This window comes from Homo sapiens, chromosome X (genome assembly GCF_000001405.40).
Source record: "Homo sapiens chromosome X, GRCh38.p14 Primary Assembly".
Classification (NCBI taxonomy): domain Eukaryota; kingdom Metazoa; phylum Chordata; class Mammalia; order Primates; family Hominidae; genus Homo; species Homo sapiens.
The window spans coordinates 114,156,172-114,173,918 of record NC_000023.11 but is presented as its reverse complement, the minus strand read 5'-3'; the positions used below and the strand labels follow the sequence as shown (position 1 = coordinate 114,173,918).

General features: G+C 34.7%; 1 annotated feature.

Annotated features, from left to right (window-relative positions):
- Positions 11,129-11,628: an enhancer, noted in NCBI's record as "H3K4me1 hESC enhancer chrX:113405505-113406004 (GRCh37/hg19 assembly coordinates)". NCBI's record gives its function as "activates a minimal SCP1, AML or CMV promoter by ChIP-STARR-seq in primed H9 embryonic stem cells {active_cell/tissue: H9 hESC(primed)}" and the evidence as "EXISTENCE:reporter gene assay evidence [ECO:0000049][PMID:30033119]".

Genomic DNA, 17,747 nt, shown 5'->3' with positions numbered 1-17,747 from the left:
TTTCTTGATGCCTTTTTGAAAATGCAAAATAAATAGTCTACCATGTAGTAATTTGTGAATTTGGCTTGTCCTTCATTAGATTGTAAGCATTGGAAGACTGATACTGCTTTATTCCCCTTTATAGCTCCCTGAAGCCTCAAACGTAGAACCTGGCTCAGTAAATATTTGATTCAAAGCAGATCAACAAGTGCTAATGAATACATGTGGCCTACGTCCTGAGAGATCACAAAGTGAAAATGTGATCAGCATTCATATCAGTTAGGGAAGTTGTTTGGTGGAGGTAAATTTGATCCAGTTTTAAGACTGTAATTTGTGAAGCTTTTAGCCTAAGTTCTCATTTCTTCCCAGTACATAGGCCCTCACAGCTTCTTAAGCTGATATTTATCAAGGACAATTTCCTTACATTAAGCCTGGGCTATTTCTCCATTGTCCACATAACTTTCTATTTTTTCTCATTAAATGAAAATATTTTATATTATCTTTAATTGTTCTCTAACAAAAAGATCCACCAGAAATTCCAGATTGTTCTTTCCAAAAAGTTAAAAGCAAAAACAAAAACTCAGCCACCTGAATCAAGTTTGAACAATGTAGTATGTACAATAAAAAACAAACTTATTTATGAGCCAATGGAACACATTTGTCAAATTAATCTTAGCATATATGAGATAGGAAACATTCATTTTAACAAGAACAACACAGTAACGTTCAATTTTGATCTTGCTTATCTGGTAAATTGATATGTATGATGGTAGCATGTAGGAATATAAAAAAGCATGATTTGTAACCATAATATCTGAATTAGAGTATTGGTTCTGCTACTTTCTGATCATGTGAATTCATAAAAAATTATATACTTTGTATGGCCCTCAGTATCTTCATATAAAAAATAGATTTATAATTATTACAACTTCAGAACATTTTTCTGAGGAAAAAATAAGATAAATAATTTTTTGTAACTGTTTAGGTTCATAGATAAGCAATGAATTATTCTTTTCTTGGAAAATCCTCTTGTACAATGTTTGCATTCATTGGAGAAAAAGCATCCTTCAGAAGTTTCTCTGGACTCATTGATGCTCTTCTAATGAAATGCTTGATCAAGAGTGGCAACATTCTGCAGGAAAGGCAGCTGATAACATCTGAGCAATGCTCTGTCCGCTCTTGATACATCTTCCTCCATCTTTGTGCTGAAGCCCACAGTCTGTATCTCAGAAGTCAAGATTAAGTATGTGCTTTGCTTCACATTGAGATTCTTGGTTGGGCTTTATTTGACAAAAGAAATGAGACTTCTAGGTCTTACCTGTTTTGGGTAATGGAATATTTATTCACGGTCACATCTTTGCTAAGCATCATCTATAATCAAGTTAAGCTAATTAGTGATCATTTTATAAGAAATAAAATACCATTTTGCAGCTTAAAGAGGATTTTATGGTCCAATATTTGAGAACAGAGGATGATAATACTGAAAAGTTTAGTATTTTATCTGTCACTTTCCTGAGCTCCTATACTATATAGTCGTACCAAACAATCAAATTTTGTTATAAAGTTTGCAAGATTTTCTAGTTGTTTCATAAGTTTATGGTAGTCATGACTGTTGGAAAGGGGCCTCAAGTCATCAGCTGTGCTAATTAAGCAAGACATATTCTGTTCTCAATTTCATCATATATAGAATAAGGGAGTTAGTATATAATCAGAGGCTGCAAACAGTATTCTGTTTGTCCAGATTAGTTTATCCAGATTAGTGTTAGATGTTTTTAAATGCTCTTAGGTGGGTCAAACCCTTTCCAGATGTACAACAAGGTCCCACCACTTCTTATTGTCTTGCATCCAGACATTTTACACATTTTTGTGTCTTTTCTGACTCCTAGAAACTTACAGCCTTGGAATTTCTGGAATAGATTATTAACTAATTTCTTTCCAGTTTAAACATTCTGTGAGAGTTATAAAGTAAATCCTAATCTACCCTGTGAAAACTGGATAACTTCAACAGGGATTTCTGATAGTGTCAATGTGGTCATCTAAATTAATCTGGAAACCATACTCTACAAACATTTTTTAAATGCTAAAGTATTGTTTAAAAAACTTACAGTAGACTTTGTTAAAGGATACAGAATTACAGCCAGATAGGAGGAATAAGTTATAGTGTCCTATACCACTATAGGATGACTATAGTGAACAACAATATATTATAAGTTTCAATAGCTAGAATGAAGATATTGAATTGTTTTGAACACAAAGAAATAATAAATGTTTGAGATAATGAATATGCTAATTACCTTGATCTGATCATTATACATTATATGTATTGAAACATCGCTATGTACCTGATGAATATCTACAATTATTATTTGTCAATTGAAAAATAAAATAAAATTTATAAAATATATTATTTTAAAAACTTACAGCAGACTTTACAAGAAAGAAAAATAAAATGCTACATGCAAAGAGTATGAAGAAGAAGACCAAGAAAAGGGTGTGGAGAAGAAAGAGGAGGAGGAGAATGGAAAGTCAGAGCAGTAAGCAATGAGTTTACTCATGGTCGGTTCAAAAAAAAAACAGAAGGGAAGGAAAGATTTGGAGGTTACTGGATGATGAAGCTACTTGATCATAAAAAAAAAAAAACATGTAAAGGAAGAATTCAAGGCCTTGGGACTATGCAAGTGGGAACTGGAAATGGGATTCCTACATGAAGATGGGACCCTCAAAGTTTATACTTTGGGTAAAATGGGAAACTCAATAAAATCTATCCATTGGCCACAGGAAATAACAAGGGAGCTTATTGCTCTACATTAAAGGAAAGCTTTCCATTCGAATTCAGGGCCTTGGCCCATTCCTTACTTGGAGTTAGAGCAAAAATAGCAGTAGTTCTTATATGGCCCAGCCATGCAAGAAATTGACTTAAATTTGATTCTGAGCCAGTGGTAGTCTAGGGTACATGATATAAGTGAAATGCAAAGCCACTTTGGAGGGATATTCCCATGACCAAGGTGACAAGGGGTTCTCATAGGACCACATTTAAGATGAGTTAACTTTTTCAAATCACACAGCATGAAATAACCCAATCACCACAAATGCTTGATAATGTTTCTCTTCGTTCTTGTGTCTGCTCAGAATCTGAGGCAATAAAAGAACAATCTGAGAATGACTATAAAAAAATAAATATTTTAAATGGAAAACTACATAAAAGAAAGAATTAAAAGTGTAAGAAAAAATTAGATACTTAATTAAATATAGGCCAATTTGACCAAAACAAGAGTAAACATTTATAAATGAAAATGCAGTCTTTGATATAGAAAACCTCAATTGATGGGTTAAATAGCAGAGTAGCCAAGGGTAAAGATAGAATTGAGTATAGAATGCAACACAGCCTAATAAAGATATCAACTATAAGAAAGCAAGGTTTAGGAGTCAAGAAGAACACAGTGAGAAAGTCTAATATACCATACCTCTTGTAAGAAATCTTGAAGAGAATGGAATGATTGAAGTAGAGGCGTTTTCAAAGAGATGAGAAAAATTTTCCATAATGATGGAATGCATGCAACCTCAAATTCAAGAAGCACAGACAGCCCCAGAAAAAAAAACTACATACTTAGGTGCATCATAGTGAAATTATAATAGAGCAAAGAAAAACAAATGGTTCTAAAATCAGCCATGAATAAAAGACACATTTCTTACAAAGCACTGAGAAGTCACCTGACAGTAGACTTATTCCAATCTGTATTCCAAAATATGTATGATACTCCCCCAATTTTGTGGGGAAATGAATGACCTCTATGATTCATAGTAGCAACTATTCATAATACACCAGTTACAAAGCTCTGATTTTTTAAGTAGGAGGGAAAACGATAGTTTTACATGGTGGTTAGCAACTGATAATATCCAGCAGTCTTTTAAAAATATATAAAGAGTTCATGTTAAGCTATAGAATGTAGCTGGTTATAGTGAATTCTCAAACCACAATGTATAACTTTCATTTTCCTTCCCATTCAAAACATATCAGAGTACTCATGAATGCAAATGCCACCATTCTAGAGATTATGTGAAACTGGTCTAAGTTATAAATAGAGAAATAAACCATTACTGTACTAATTACATAACAGTAACAAATTACATATCAATGTGATTTGACATCACTTTTGAGAAGTATTTGCACAAAGCCATATCCTGTTTTGACAGACATCCCTAATGGATCAGATACCTCTATTGTAGGATGGGCATACTGTCGTTCTTAAAATGTATTTGTTTCACTACATTACAGGCACTAGTGGAGAATAGGAACTGAGAGAATAAATAGCATTTTTTTAAGTTGAGAAACCTAACAAAGTTAGAACCTTTTTTTGATTGATTTATTTTTCCCTTGTCTTTGCAATTACAAAGGCTTCTAGTTCTGAATTAGACAATATTGATCACTGAAGTAGTTCTATTCAGCAGCTTTATTTACAGGAGTTAAATGCCAAACGCTATTTTCATTAATGTTTGCATGAAGCTCAGATGTCTATGTTACAAATGTACTCTTAGTTCTTGAGGTTTTCACATCATTGATCAAAAAGGGGAAAAGGGTGTGTTTTTTGTTTGTTTGTTATTTAAATCCACATCACACATAATTCTAGATATTAAAAAATCTTTTTGAACATATTTAACTTAAATATCCTTTTAATGTTTGGTGCCTTTTTCCCACAGAAATTCAATTGTTTCTAAAAGTTTAAGAACAATGTATGTACATATGGATGATGAAGAAGTAGAGAAAATAAAAATGTATATGCAGTCATTCATCATACACAGATTTTATTCCAGAAAGTAAATAACTGAAGTCAATATGTATAATATCTCATGAACTCAACCTTATTAATAGCATAGTTTAAACTTTCTATATCTTCATAATATTTAGTGTGATGTATTTATCAGTTACAGAAAGTTCACTAATGTAAGTGTGATTTTCTCAATTCCTCATTGTAGTTCTATCCATTTTGTTTTAAGTATTTTGAAGCTCTGGTAAGCACATCAGTATTCTAAATAATATTTTTATCCCTTGGTAGTGGATGGCTTTATGCATAATAATATTTATTTAATATTTATTCTGTTTGTTATTATTTTAATTGTACTATTCTTAGTTGATTATATTTGTCTGGTATAAATGTTTACTTCTTTCCTTTTGGTCTTTATGATTCATTATGCTTTGAGAGAAGTTCTGTTTCTCTTAAAGAAGGAATGGGAGCTTAATTACCTGATCTCCCAGCATGCAACAGCTATGCATTCTATAAAAAGTATATTGAAAAAACTACTTGAGTGTTTTTCAGCCTGGACAAATGTAGGTAGATATTCCTGGGGAGTAGAAACTTGTACCAAGTGTTCCAATGGAATTGCATTTTTTTGCAACTTTACACTGAGAGCAGCCAGAATTGTTCTGGTTGGTGCTATGGGACAAAAGCCATATTTGGGGGGCTAAAATATTCAGGTGAAGGAACCTGTGGAATAAAGATTGACAAAGAATGACAGGGTAATCTAGGAAAGAAAAGAAACCCCAATATTCTGTGTCTAAAATCAGCCTGAGTCTCTGGTTTACATCTGAATCCTACATGCCTGGGGAAAGCTGAAATCAGCTTGTAGCTAAGGCCTAAGAAACTGAACTTAGTTCTGGGCTATTGCTTACAACTGGTATGACAGTTTTCAGCCTGAATCTAACCACATTTTGCCTGCTAAAACAAAAACATCAACAGTCATAGGAATAATATAACAAAATCCAGAATCTTCAAAACATAATATTCAAAATAAAAGCTAGGACAATGCAACCCCATCTCAAAGAAAACACAACCAGCAGATGCCAATCCTGAGATAACCTGGATGTTGGAATTATCAGGTTAGGACTTGTTGCAGGAAGTCAGGGACCCTGAACGGAGGGACCAGCTGAAACCATGGCAGAAGAACATAAATTGTGAAGATTTCATGGACATTTATTAGTTCCCCAGATTAATACTTTAATAATTTCTTACGCCTGTCTTTACTGCAGTCTTTGAACATAAATTGTGAAGATTTCATGGACATTTATCACTTCCCCAATCAATACTCTTATAATTTCCTATGCCTGTCTTTACTTTAATGTCTTAATCCTGTCATCTTCATAAGCGGAGGATGTATGTCACCTCAGGACCCTGTGATGACTGCATTATCTGTACAAATTGTTTGTAAAAGATGTGTGTGTTTGAACAATATGAAATCTGGGCATCCTAAAAGAACAGGATAACAGTGATTTTCAGGGAACAAGGGAGATAACCATGAAGTCTGACTGCCTGTGAGGCTGGGCAGAACAGAGTCATATTTCTCTTCTTTCAGAAAGCGAATAGGAGAAATATCACTGAATTCTTTTTCTCAGCAAGGAACAGCCCTGGGAAAAGAATGTATTCCCAAGGGGGAGGCCTCTGAAGTGGCTGCTCTGGGAGTGTCTGTCTTATGCAGTTGAAGATAAGGGATAAAATATACCCTGGTCTCCTGCAGTGCCCCCAGGCTTGCTAGGATTAGGAAATTCCAGCCTGGCGAATTCTAGTCAGACCGGTTCTCTGCTCCTGAACCCTGTTTCCTGTTAAGATGTTTATCAATGACAATGCGTGCACAACGGGACATGGAACCTCATTAGTAATTCTAATTTCACCCTGGCCTTGTGATCTTGCTCTGCCCCCATTTGCCTTGTGATATTTTATTGCCTTTGAAGCATGTGATCTCTGTGACCCACACCCTATTCGTACACTCCCTCCCCTTTGAAAATCGCTAATAAAAACTTGCTGATTTTGCAGCTTAGGGCATCACGGAATCTGCCAACATGTGATGTCACCCCCGGAGACCCAGCTGTAAAATTTCTTTCTTTTGTACTCTTTCTCTTTATTTCTCAGACCAGCTGACACTTAGAGAAAATAGAAAAGAACCTACGTTGAAATACTGGGGGCTGGTTCCCCCAGTAAGGACTTTAAACCATTTGTATATAACTATGTTTAGTGTGGTTTAAAAAAATACATTGTAGATGAATGAAAAAATGGAAAATTATAGAAGAGATATACTTACAATATAAATGAAGCAAATGCAACTTTTAAAACTAAAAAATGCACTACCTAAAATTAAAATTTTGCTGAATGGGCTTAATTTTACAGTGGAGATGACAAAGGAAAGAATCAGTGAACTTTCACTTAGATTAATAAAAACCATCCAATCCAAAGAAGCGTAGCTTAAAAGCCAATTGACAAATGAAAATGGAATTCTAAAAATTATTAACTAATTCAAAAAATAGCAGGAAAGGGGGAACATATGAATAAAAAAAACACAAGAAACCAACCTAAAACAAATAATAAAATATTAGGCCTGAATCAAACCATTTAAATGATGTTACTATCTGTAAATGGCCTAAATACTTCAATTAAGAGTCAAATGTTATCAGAACAAATAAAAGAGCAAGAATTAACTGTGTGTTGTCCATAAATATTGTGTTTTAAGTATAAAGACAGAGATAGGTTGGGAGTAAATAGATAGAAAAAGATATACCATACAAACACTGAGCATAAGAAGGCTGAGTAATTATATTGATGTCAGATAAAATAGGCTTAAATACCAAAATCATTACTAGAGACACGGGGACATTTCAAAACGAAAAAGATTCAGTTCTCCAGAAAGTCACAACAAATTTTAGTGTGTATATACTAACAAGAGAGCTTTAATGTACACACATATATATTATTGTCAGAACTAAAGAGAAAAATAGACATTTCCACAGTCATAGTAAGAGTTTTTTAACACAGTTTTCTCAATTGACAGAACAGTTTAAATAAAAATTCAGTAAAGACATAAAGAATCCGAATAACTGTGCTAACTATCCTGACCTAAATGATGTTGTCAGAATACTGTGCTAACTGCAGAATACACCTTCCATAAAATGAATATGGTATGTTCACCAACATAGGCCATTTGCAGCATCATTACACAAGTCCCAATAAATATAAAATGGTCAAAATACTATAGAACAATTTACCTGATAACAGTAAAATTATAGATCAAAAACTAGGAAAATGCCACTATGTTTTCTTTTAAAATCAAGCATGGATGCAAAAAGAAACTGAAAGGAGAAACATATGACAGCAAATCTCACAAAGAGCCAGAAAATTTCAATTTCATAATGTAAGGTGAGCATGTTGATGTGTGAAATGACAGCTTCTCAGTTTCAACAGCAGGAAAAGTATGCATGCACTGACAGTGTGAGTTTCTGCAGCTCTGGTTTTCTTCTTAGAAACAAAAGAGGTAATAGTGAACATGGAATCCCACAGACGATTCGTATTTCCAGGAAGCAACTTGTATTTATCGCATTGTGATTGGTATTGTGAACCATCTACAGCTGTCTATTTCCTTCAACTCGGAAAAAATAAAAGTTAAAAGAACAATCACAAAAGAAAATCCTCAGGCACAAATAAAGGTACCTGTACCTTAGAATAGAGTCCAGTCCTCTCTAAGACAATAACTTTCTACAAATAGCATGCCTGAAAAAAAATTCATCTGATTCAAAGATAAGAACAAAAAAAAATCACAGAAACAGGATCTATACAATTATACTTCCAGAAATATGGGAAATAGAGACAGAAAAACCACGTGGCAATTTTTTCTAAATTTACCAGAACAATGTTGCAATATTAGAGATGAAAACTATGGCAAAATATTTTACCATAATTTTTTTAATCATCAAAGCAATATCCTCTCTAGAAGAGCATAGAGATGCAAGAGCTATCATAATATCTTAAGAGACAACAGATGGAGATATGACAAGCTTGAACATTTCAGAAAAAAATCAAAGAAAACACAACACAGAAATGAAGGCAAAATTAGAACTAGCACAAGGAAAAATAGATATTACGATAAACTTAGTGAGTTACAAATACAGTAAGAAAAAATATGCAGTTTTTTTGTTTGTTTTTGTTTGCTTTTGTTTTGTTTTGTTGTTATTGTTTTTATTCTGAGACAGGATCTCTCTCTCTGTTGCCCAGGCTGGAGTGCAGTGGCATGATTATAACTCACTGCAGCTGTGAACTCCTGGGCTCAAGTGATTCTCCCACTTCAGCCTGCCAAATAACTGGGACTGCAGGTATGCACCACCACACCTAGCTAATTTTTCTTATATTTTTTGTAGAGACAGGGTCTCACTATGTTGCTGAGGCTGGTCTTGAACTCCTGGGCTCAAGCGATCCTCCTGCCTTGGCCACCCAAAATGCTGGGATTACAGGCATGAGCCACCATGGTTGGCCCAATAAGCAGAATTTAACTGAAAACAGTGCTATGAGAATCAAAGAGTAAATGACATAGAAGAAAGAAAAATTCCAATGTATATCCAGTTGAAATTTCTCAATAGGATTTTTTTAAGTAAGAAAAGAGAAGGAACAAGTTATGGTATAAACAAAAAAAAAAGCCTTTCCAGAAATAAAGCTAAAACTAGAATCCACATATTGAAAGTATACACTACATCTCCTGGAAAATTGACCCTGAATGGTGAACACTGAGGTATATCATAGTAAATACTTGAATCTCAAAGATGAAGAGCCCTTTGGATATTCAGTCAGAAATATCAAGTAATTGGTATGGAGAAAATAATTAGACTGGCTTCATATTACTCCACAACCACAGCCAATTCTAGAAGAAAATCTTCATAAAATCTTCAAGGAAATAAAGACAGTTCCAATAATTTAATCAATGAAGAAATAACTGGGAAAAATTTATCAAAATGACTCTTCAGTATTGACCCCATGGGACTAAAATTAAAACAACTGTGGGGGTTATGGTACCAGAATGGGATGTAAAGGTAATAATTTTTGGGAATGAAATTTGATAGGAAGTGAAGAGGTGGGGATTCATCTTTGTGTACTTTTTCCTTTATTTTTAATATTCAGGGCAAAAATAACATTAAAGTTAATATATAAAGTAATAGAGGCATACTATTATTTAGCAGTATGAAGTCAAACACTAAGAACGATGACATAATTAGTTGTAATTAGATGATGGATAAAAGGCAAGATGAAGGAAGGAAAGGGAGATACAATAGATACAAAAGTACAGTGTTTAAGATCAAAGATTCTGGAGTCAGACTACCTGTGTTTAAATCCTGACTCCACTAGTTATCTAGCTGCAAAACCTTGAGCAATTTGCTTAACCTTTTCTGCCTTGGGTCTCCAGCATAAACATTTAGTGTAATATTTCCACTCACTTTTATAGAGTTGTTATGAGGATTAAATATCTATATGCAAAGCACATAAGCTGACTTATCAGTTTATTATATTGTTTATGATGCTAATTTAATAATAATAATATTGTCTCCCTATCAAAAGTATATCCATCAGGGCTGGTCAGTGAAAAATAAAACCACTGTGGTGCTCCAACAAAGAAGGATTTTAATATAATTTTGTAGTTTTATTTTTATTGTTCTGTCTGCTTATTATTACTGCCATCCTCTCCTACAGTTTCCTCCTCATTGAATAGAAGAAATCTGAAACTACATTTCCCAGAAACCCTTTCCTTGTGTGATTCCAAATTAAAGTCTTTCAAAAAACAGGCACTTGTGTGAGATCATGAAGATAAAACAAAAGAGCCAGTTGGCAACTCTGAACAACGGATGACAATTGTTGAGCAGCTGCATGAACAGATAATAGATAAAAGTTTTGCAGTGGCTTGAGGTAACTTTCACTCTTAAAACTATTAGCAGCTGAGATTAGTGATGGTGGCTTTCTTTGAGATTCATGTTTATTTTAGGTTCATAGGATAAATTCCTATGAATCACTTTTTTCAGTACTTCAGGCAAGTGAGATGGTCATATGGACTTTCCTATAATCCTGCCACTTCTTGATTTTATAAACTGCAGCAGAAGCTTCCCTGAACTTCATTTCCACAGCTCTGACAAAGGCTTGTGAACCTCTAAATCCTTGTATTAAATTCTTTCCTACCGGATTCCTAGAAAGGACTTCTGGGAGAAGAGGGGCTTCAAAATGGCTGACTAGAGGCATCAGGTACTTGCCTCCTCCACAAAGAGGAACCAAAATAGTGAGTAGATAATCACACTTTGAATAGATCATGAAGACAGAACATTGGAATACAACAGATAAATGACAGGAAACATCTAAGACAAGGAAGGAGAGGGAAGCGAAGCAACTTGCACAGCCAGAATCAGCTGAGAGCCTGGAGAGGTTTCCCAATGCAGGGCAAAGGGTAACTGAGAGAGACCCCCAGTGGTTCACATTCCCACGGTAGACTCCTGCAATCCTAGGCATAGGAGAGCCGCTTGACCGTCCCAGGCCCTGAGACTAACACAGGAAGCTGCCTGGAGACTATGAGATGGCATTGCTCCAGAGAGGGGAGCTCATGCTGGATCTCACACACCCCGTGAGTCCTCAGCAGTTACAGCACAGCACCATTTTAAGAGTCCAGCCTCACCAGGCTGCATCCAGCCTTGGGGTTCAACAATCCCTGTGTCTCCACATCCCTGGAGCCCCACTGACATCCCTCAGCCACAGCCACGGCCGCTGCCAACTGCTGCAGCCTAGGCTGAAGTGCAAGCCATTGGCAGTTATCTCTTTGCCCCCAGCAATGGGGCTGCTGTGCATTTACAGGCGCCCTGAGGTCAGGCTACTCACCCACAGCGCCACCTAGAGCCAAAGTACACGCTTTCCAGCCACCTGCCTGTGGCTGCTGCCACTGAAAGCAACACCACACTCCCAAGGAGCAGGGCCATAGTGCAGCTGCTGCTGCCTCCACCTGAGCATTTCACTGGGGACCTGGTGATCACCCCACCCCTGCCTACCACAGCCAACATTTGCACACATCAACAGGGGGTCTGAGGACAAGCTCCACCAGCTCAAGTTTGCCTCACCCCTGCAGTGCCCAAGCACATCATCTTGGGGGCCTGGGGATCACCAACTCTTTTTTGATAAAAGTGCCAAGAACATACACTGGGGAAAATACACCCTCTTCAATAAATGGTGCTGGGAAAACTAGATATCTGTATGCAGAAGAATGAAATTGGACCCCTGTCTCTCACCATATTAAAAAAATAAACTCAAGATGGATTAAGGTCTTAAATCTAAGACCTAAAGCTCTACAGTTGCTAGAAGAAAACAAGCAAAACATTCAGGGCATTGATTTAGGCAAAGAATTTATGGCTAAGACCTCAAAAGCACAGGCAAATAAAAAATAGACAAATGGGGCAAAAGCTAAAAAGCTTCCGCACAGCAAAGGAAACAATCAACAGAGTGAAGAAATAACCTCTTGAATGGGAGAAAATATTTGCAAACTATTCATCCATAAAAGGACTAATATCCAGACTATACAAGAAACTCAACTCAGTAGTAAATAATCCAATTTAAAAGTGGGCAAGAGACATGAATAGACATTTTTCAAAAGAAGACATATAAATGGCCAACAGGCATTTTTTTTAATGTTCAACATCACTAATGGTTAGAGAAATGCAAATCAAAACTATAATGATTTATCATCTTACCCCAGTTAGAATGGCTATTATTAAAAAGAAAAAAATAACAGATACTGCCAAAGATGCAGAGAAAAGGCAACTCTGGTACACTGTTGGTGGGAATGTAAATAAGTACAGCCACTGTGGAAAACAGTATGGAGATTTTCTTTAAAAAAAATTAAACATAGAATTATGATACAATCCAGTAATTCCACTACTAGTTATTTATCCAAAGCAAAGGAAATCAGTATATCAAAGGGATACCTATACATCCATGTTTATTGTGGCACTATTCGCAATAACCAAGATATAAAATCAACCTAAGTGTACATCAATGGATGAATGGATAAAGAACATCTGGTATATGCACATGATGGAGTACTATTCAGCCATAAAAAATGAAATAATGTCATTTGCAGCAACATGGATGGAACTGAAGGTCATTATATGAAGTGAAGTAAGCCAGGCACAGGAAGACAAACATCACATCTTCTCACTCATATATAGAAGCTATAGAAGTAAATCTCATGGAGATGAGAGTAGAATGATAGATATCAGAGGCTGGGAAGTATGTGTGAGTGAGGGTTCCAGGAGAATAAAGAGAGGTTGGTTAATGGGTAAAAACATACAGTTAGATAGAAAAAATAAGTTCTAGAGTTAAATAGCTCAGTAGCGTGACTATAATTAGCAACAATGTAGTGTATATTTCAAAATGGCTAGAAGACAGGACTTGATATGCTCCCAACATATAGAAATAAGTAGTCAAGGAGATGGATACACAAAATAACCTGATTTGATTATTATACATCCTATGCACTTAAAAATATTTAATGTACCCAATAAATATGTACAAATATTATGTCAATAAAAAATAAAATTAAAATTAAAATAAATTTTAAAAAATTCCTAGAATGGCTTCTGCTTTACTGACCAACCCTAATTAATATGTTCATAAAAATAATATAAAAATGGAGAATTATAATTAAAATATTCATGGTAAGTGAATAAAATATTATTACATATTAATCTATAAAAGCAAACTTTTCTAAATATCTGAAGAAACACAGAAAAAGCAAAGAAATAATTCAGTTAATAAATATTTTTTTAAAGGCATACAAAGAGAAAACATAACATAAAATTTTGACGAAAGTAACTGAACTCAACACACTCACTAAAAAAAGGTTAAATGGATCACAAAATAATTGCTGTGGAAAAAAGATACCTACAACGAAGTGATTTAGAAAGACTGAATACGAAAACAAAAGAATGTGCAAAGAATAGCAGATATCATAACCTTAATATCAGACAAGGATGAATATGATGTAAAAGCTCTAAATGAAAGAACAAAAAAGTACTATTGTATAATGCTAAACATTAAAATTCACAATGAAGTTGTAACTATTATAAATGTTACAACTAACACTTTACAGTTTTAAATGTTGCACCAAATAACATGGCTCAACATTATTATAGAGTCAAAACAATAACGTATAAATTTTTAAAGTAGACAGAAATGATTATTGGCAGTAGTTTTATTCATGCACTCATTTTGTGTTAGGCCAAGTGGACAGATAACACAATTAGGAAGGTGAAGTTATTGGATATGTATCATATCCTATACCTTGAATACAGAATTCATTTTCTATTAAGAAACATTTGAAACATTTTCCCCGAAACGTGACTGTATATTTTGCTAGAAGAAAAATTGTTTTTCAAAATATAAGAAAAGTAAAACAATGTGAATAGTATTCATTAATCATAACTCAATTAAAGTAAAAGTTAATGACAAAACCAGAAACAAACAAAAAATGTGTTTTAGATGCTTTCTGTCAAACAAATCCGAGAGAAAATAAAACCTTAAATTGTAGAATACCTAACAAATAATGAGAGCTAAAACACTACTTATTAGAACCCTGTGATGCTTCTACAGCAGACTTACATACTTATATTTCACAGACTTACATACTTATACTAGCAAGCAAATTTAAATATATGATCATCAAGCTTAAAAAGTTAGGGGGAAAAAAAACAAACAGAAAATAAGCCAAAGGAAATCAGAAGTCTGAAATTAAAATGATAAATATTAATGAATTTTATTAAAATAGTTGATCCTTTAAATAAAACCATAAAAGCCATAAATGCTTAAGCTACTCTAATCAAAATAAAACATGAGGGTGTTTCTTAAAGGGAAGAATATTAAAATAACCATAGATGGAGACATCTAAAAGAATAGTAAGACTCCTTTATTCAAGTTTATCCAAACAAATTTATTACAATGAAATGCATAATATTTTAGAAAAATGTAATGTACCAAAATCTACTCAAGAAGGCATAAAAAAAATCTATCATTAGTATTGGAGGGTCAACAATTTCACAGCATTTCTATCCTTGGAATTTATCTTGCGGATACATTTGCATATAGGAAAAATGATATATGCACAAATTGTTTACTGAAAATTGTTTGTAATGACAAGAAATCTGAACAACCTAAATGCTGTCTATAGGGAATGGGTTAAAATGAATTATGATACAGTCATAAAGTGGAATGCTATGTAGCTCAAACGATCAAAGAAACAAAAGCAATACATTATTAATATATAAATAAATATATACATGGGACAATCTTCAAGATATATTGTAAAGTACCAAAAAGTGAGGTGAATAAATGAATGTATAGTACTCGAGCAGTGCTTTAAAAGTGAAAACAAAAGATAATTATATTTACTTGTAACTTGTATGTGTGTTTGTATATGCGTACACATATATATACATACAATTTTTCTGGAAGTAAAATGGGAACCTTATAATAGGTTCTATGAAATGGAGCTAAGTGCTTAGGGGACAGAAGTAAGACCTTTTTTTTTATTTTTTACCCTTTTGTACATTTTGATTTTTTTTTTTTCTTACTGCAACTTCTGCCTCTGAGGATCAAACAATCCCTCCCACCTCAGCCTCTTGTGTAGCTGGTACTGCAGACACAAACCACCACGCTGTTAATTTTTTTTTTTTTTTTTGCCTTTTGTAGAGGCGGGGGTCTCACTTTGTTGTCCAGGATGGTCTTGAACTCCTGGCCTCAGGCAATCCTCCCTCCTTGGCCCCATAAAGGGTTACGATTACAGGCATGAGCCACCACACCTGGCCCACTTTGAATTTTGAATCACGAGAATGTTAATTTTAAAATACATTTAATTTAAAGAACAATAAAAGAACAGCAGCAGAATCAAAAACCTCTTTATCAAGAGGGCAGCTGAAAATTTATGGTTGATTTAGGTATTTGGTCTCCAAATCATAGCCCTTACCTCCCATAATATACCCAAAGCAAAAGTGGGAAAATATAGTATTTTTCTATTTTACTCAATCACCTTGTCCTTCCGTTTCCAAGTGAAATGGGAAAGTTAATACATGTGGAGACAAAATGGAATATAGTTTTAAAATTCAAATTAAATATTTTAAAATAATTGAAAGTCATTAGGAATAAAACCAATTTCAAAATTTAACTCACAAAATATACATAGTTGTTTGGCTACAAAGAAAAAAAGGCTTTGCTATGGAGACCCCTACTTGTAGTACCTACCAAGGAGTAATTGAATCTTAATTCAGGTTTAATAACTCCTTTCTGGATTGGAAATTTTCTGCTAAAGCTCTTTTATAGTATGGAAATGAAAGAGTTCTAACAGACCTTTCCACCTCAATTATAGTTGGCTTTCAGAAAGCAGGAGAGAACTTATACAAGTAGGACAAGGTTTGGTACATCCTAACCTTCCTCGATATTTCATTAAAATGTCATTAAGAAAATTCATTTCTCAGAGTCTATTTTTTATTTCAGAAATGTAATGCAATTCACAATCTAAGTTGCTCTAGTTGGTAGAATGTAACATGGGTCTCATTCAACCATTGGAAAAATAATTCTAATCTTTAAAAGGTCTGTTTTTTATTTCCAGATTTGCAAACAGCTTGCAGTGTAACATTGGATGACTCATAATATTTTGATTTCCAAGTCTAAACCTTTCCAAATTGGGCTGATAATATCAACAGCTTGAAGCCATCTCTTTGTAATGTTCTTAATGAAATAATGTTTCAGTAATAGTCAGTCTTGGGGTCTGAAACAGTCCCTTAGGTTTGAACAATACAAGCCTAAAAGATTTAACCTGCTGAAGGCAGAGTAAAGCAAGAACAGTTTTAGCGTATCAGGAATCATTTAAGCTACATCTAAGCATAGCTGCCTGCTAGTTTAACTATTTTGTATAAACTAATTGGCGTGTTAGAACGGTGTAGTCAGCCACATGATCCATTAATAATTTAGTGCTAACTGCCTAAAGAGTAATTAAGGACCAATTATTTTAGATTGGTCGAATCGGTTTGCTATATAGATATATAACTTTAGTGAGCTTTTCTTCTAATTTCCTTAATGTTTACTAATATTTTGTTTATTAAGCAAACTGCAAAATTCTTAATCCAGAGCAAGCACTTTCTAAAAAATATCCTTTAGGGGCTTATGCCTGTAATCCCAGCACTTTGGGAAGCAAGGGCAGGAGGATAGCTTGACCCCAGGAATTCAAGATCAGCTTGGGCAACATGGTGAGATCCCATCTCTACAAAAGAATGAAACAATTAGCTGGGCCTCATGGTGAGCACCTGTAGATCCAGTTACTCGGGAGGCTGAGGCAAGAGGGCTGTTGGAACCTAGGAGTTGGAGGCTGCAATGAGCTATGATCATGCCACTGCACTCCAGCCTGGGCAACAGAGACCCGGTCTCTAAAAAAATAAAATAAAATAAAATAAATGTTAAAAAAAATCACGTACACTGCAGTGTCTTTCATGAATAGTAGCAAATGTCTTACTTACTAGTCTTTGGTAAAACTCTTCATCTTTAATCTGCAAGTTTAAATCATACCATGCTGGGTTTTTATTAAGCTTTTTTTGAGACAGGGTCTTACTCTGTAGTGCAGGCTGGAATGCAGTGGCACGATCACGGCTCACTGAAACTTCCATCTTCCAAGCTCAAGCGATCCTCCTTCCACCTCAGCCTCTGGAGTAATTGGGACTACAGGCACGCACCACCATGCTTGGCTAATTTTTAAATTTTTTTGTAGACAAGAGGTCTCACTATATTGGCCCAGCTGGTCTTGAACTCCTGGACTCAAGCAATCCTCCCGACTTGGCCTTTCAAAGTGCTGGGATTACAGGAATGAGCCACCCTGCCTGGCCTAAACAAATTTTTCATTGTAGTAAAATATACGTAAAATTTACCATCTTAACCATTTTTAGGCGT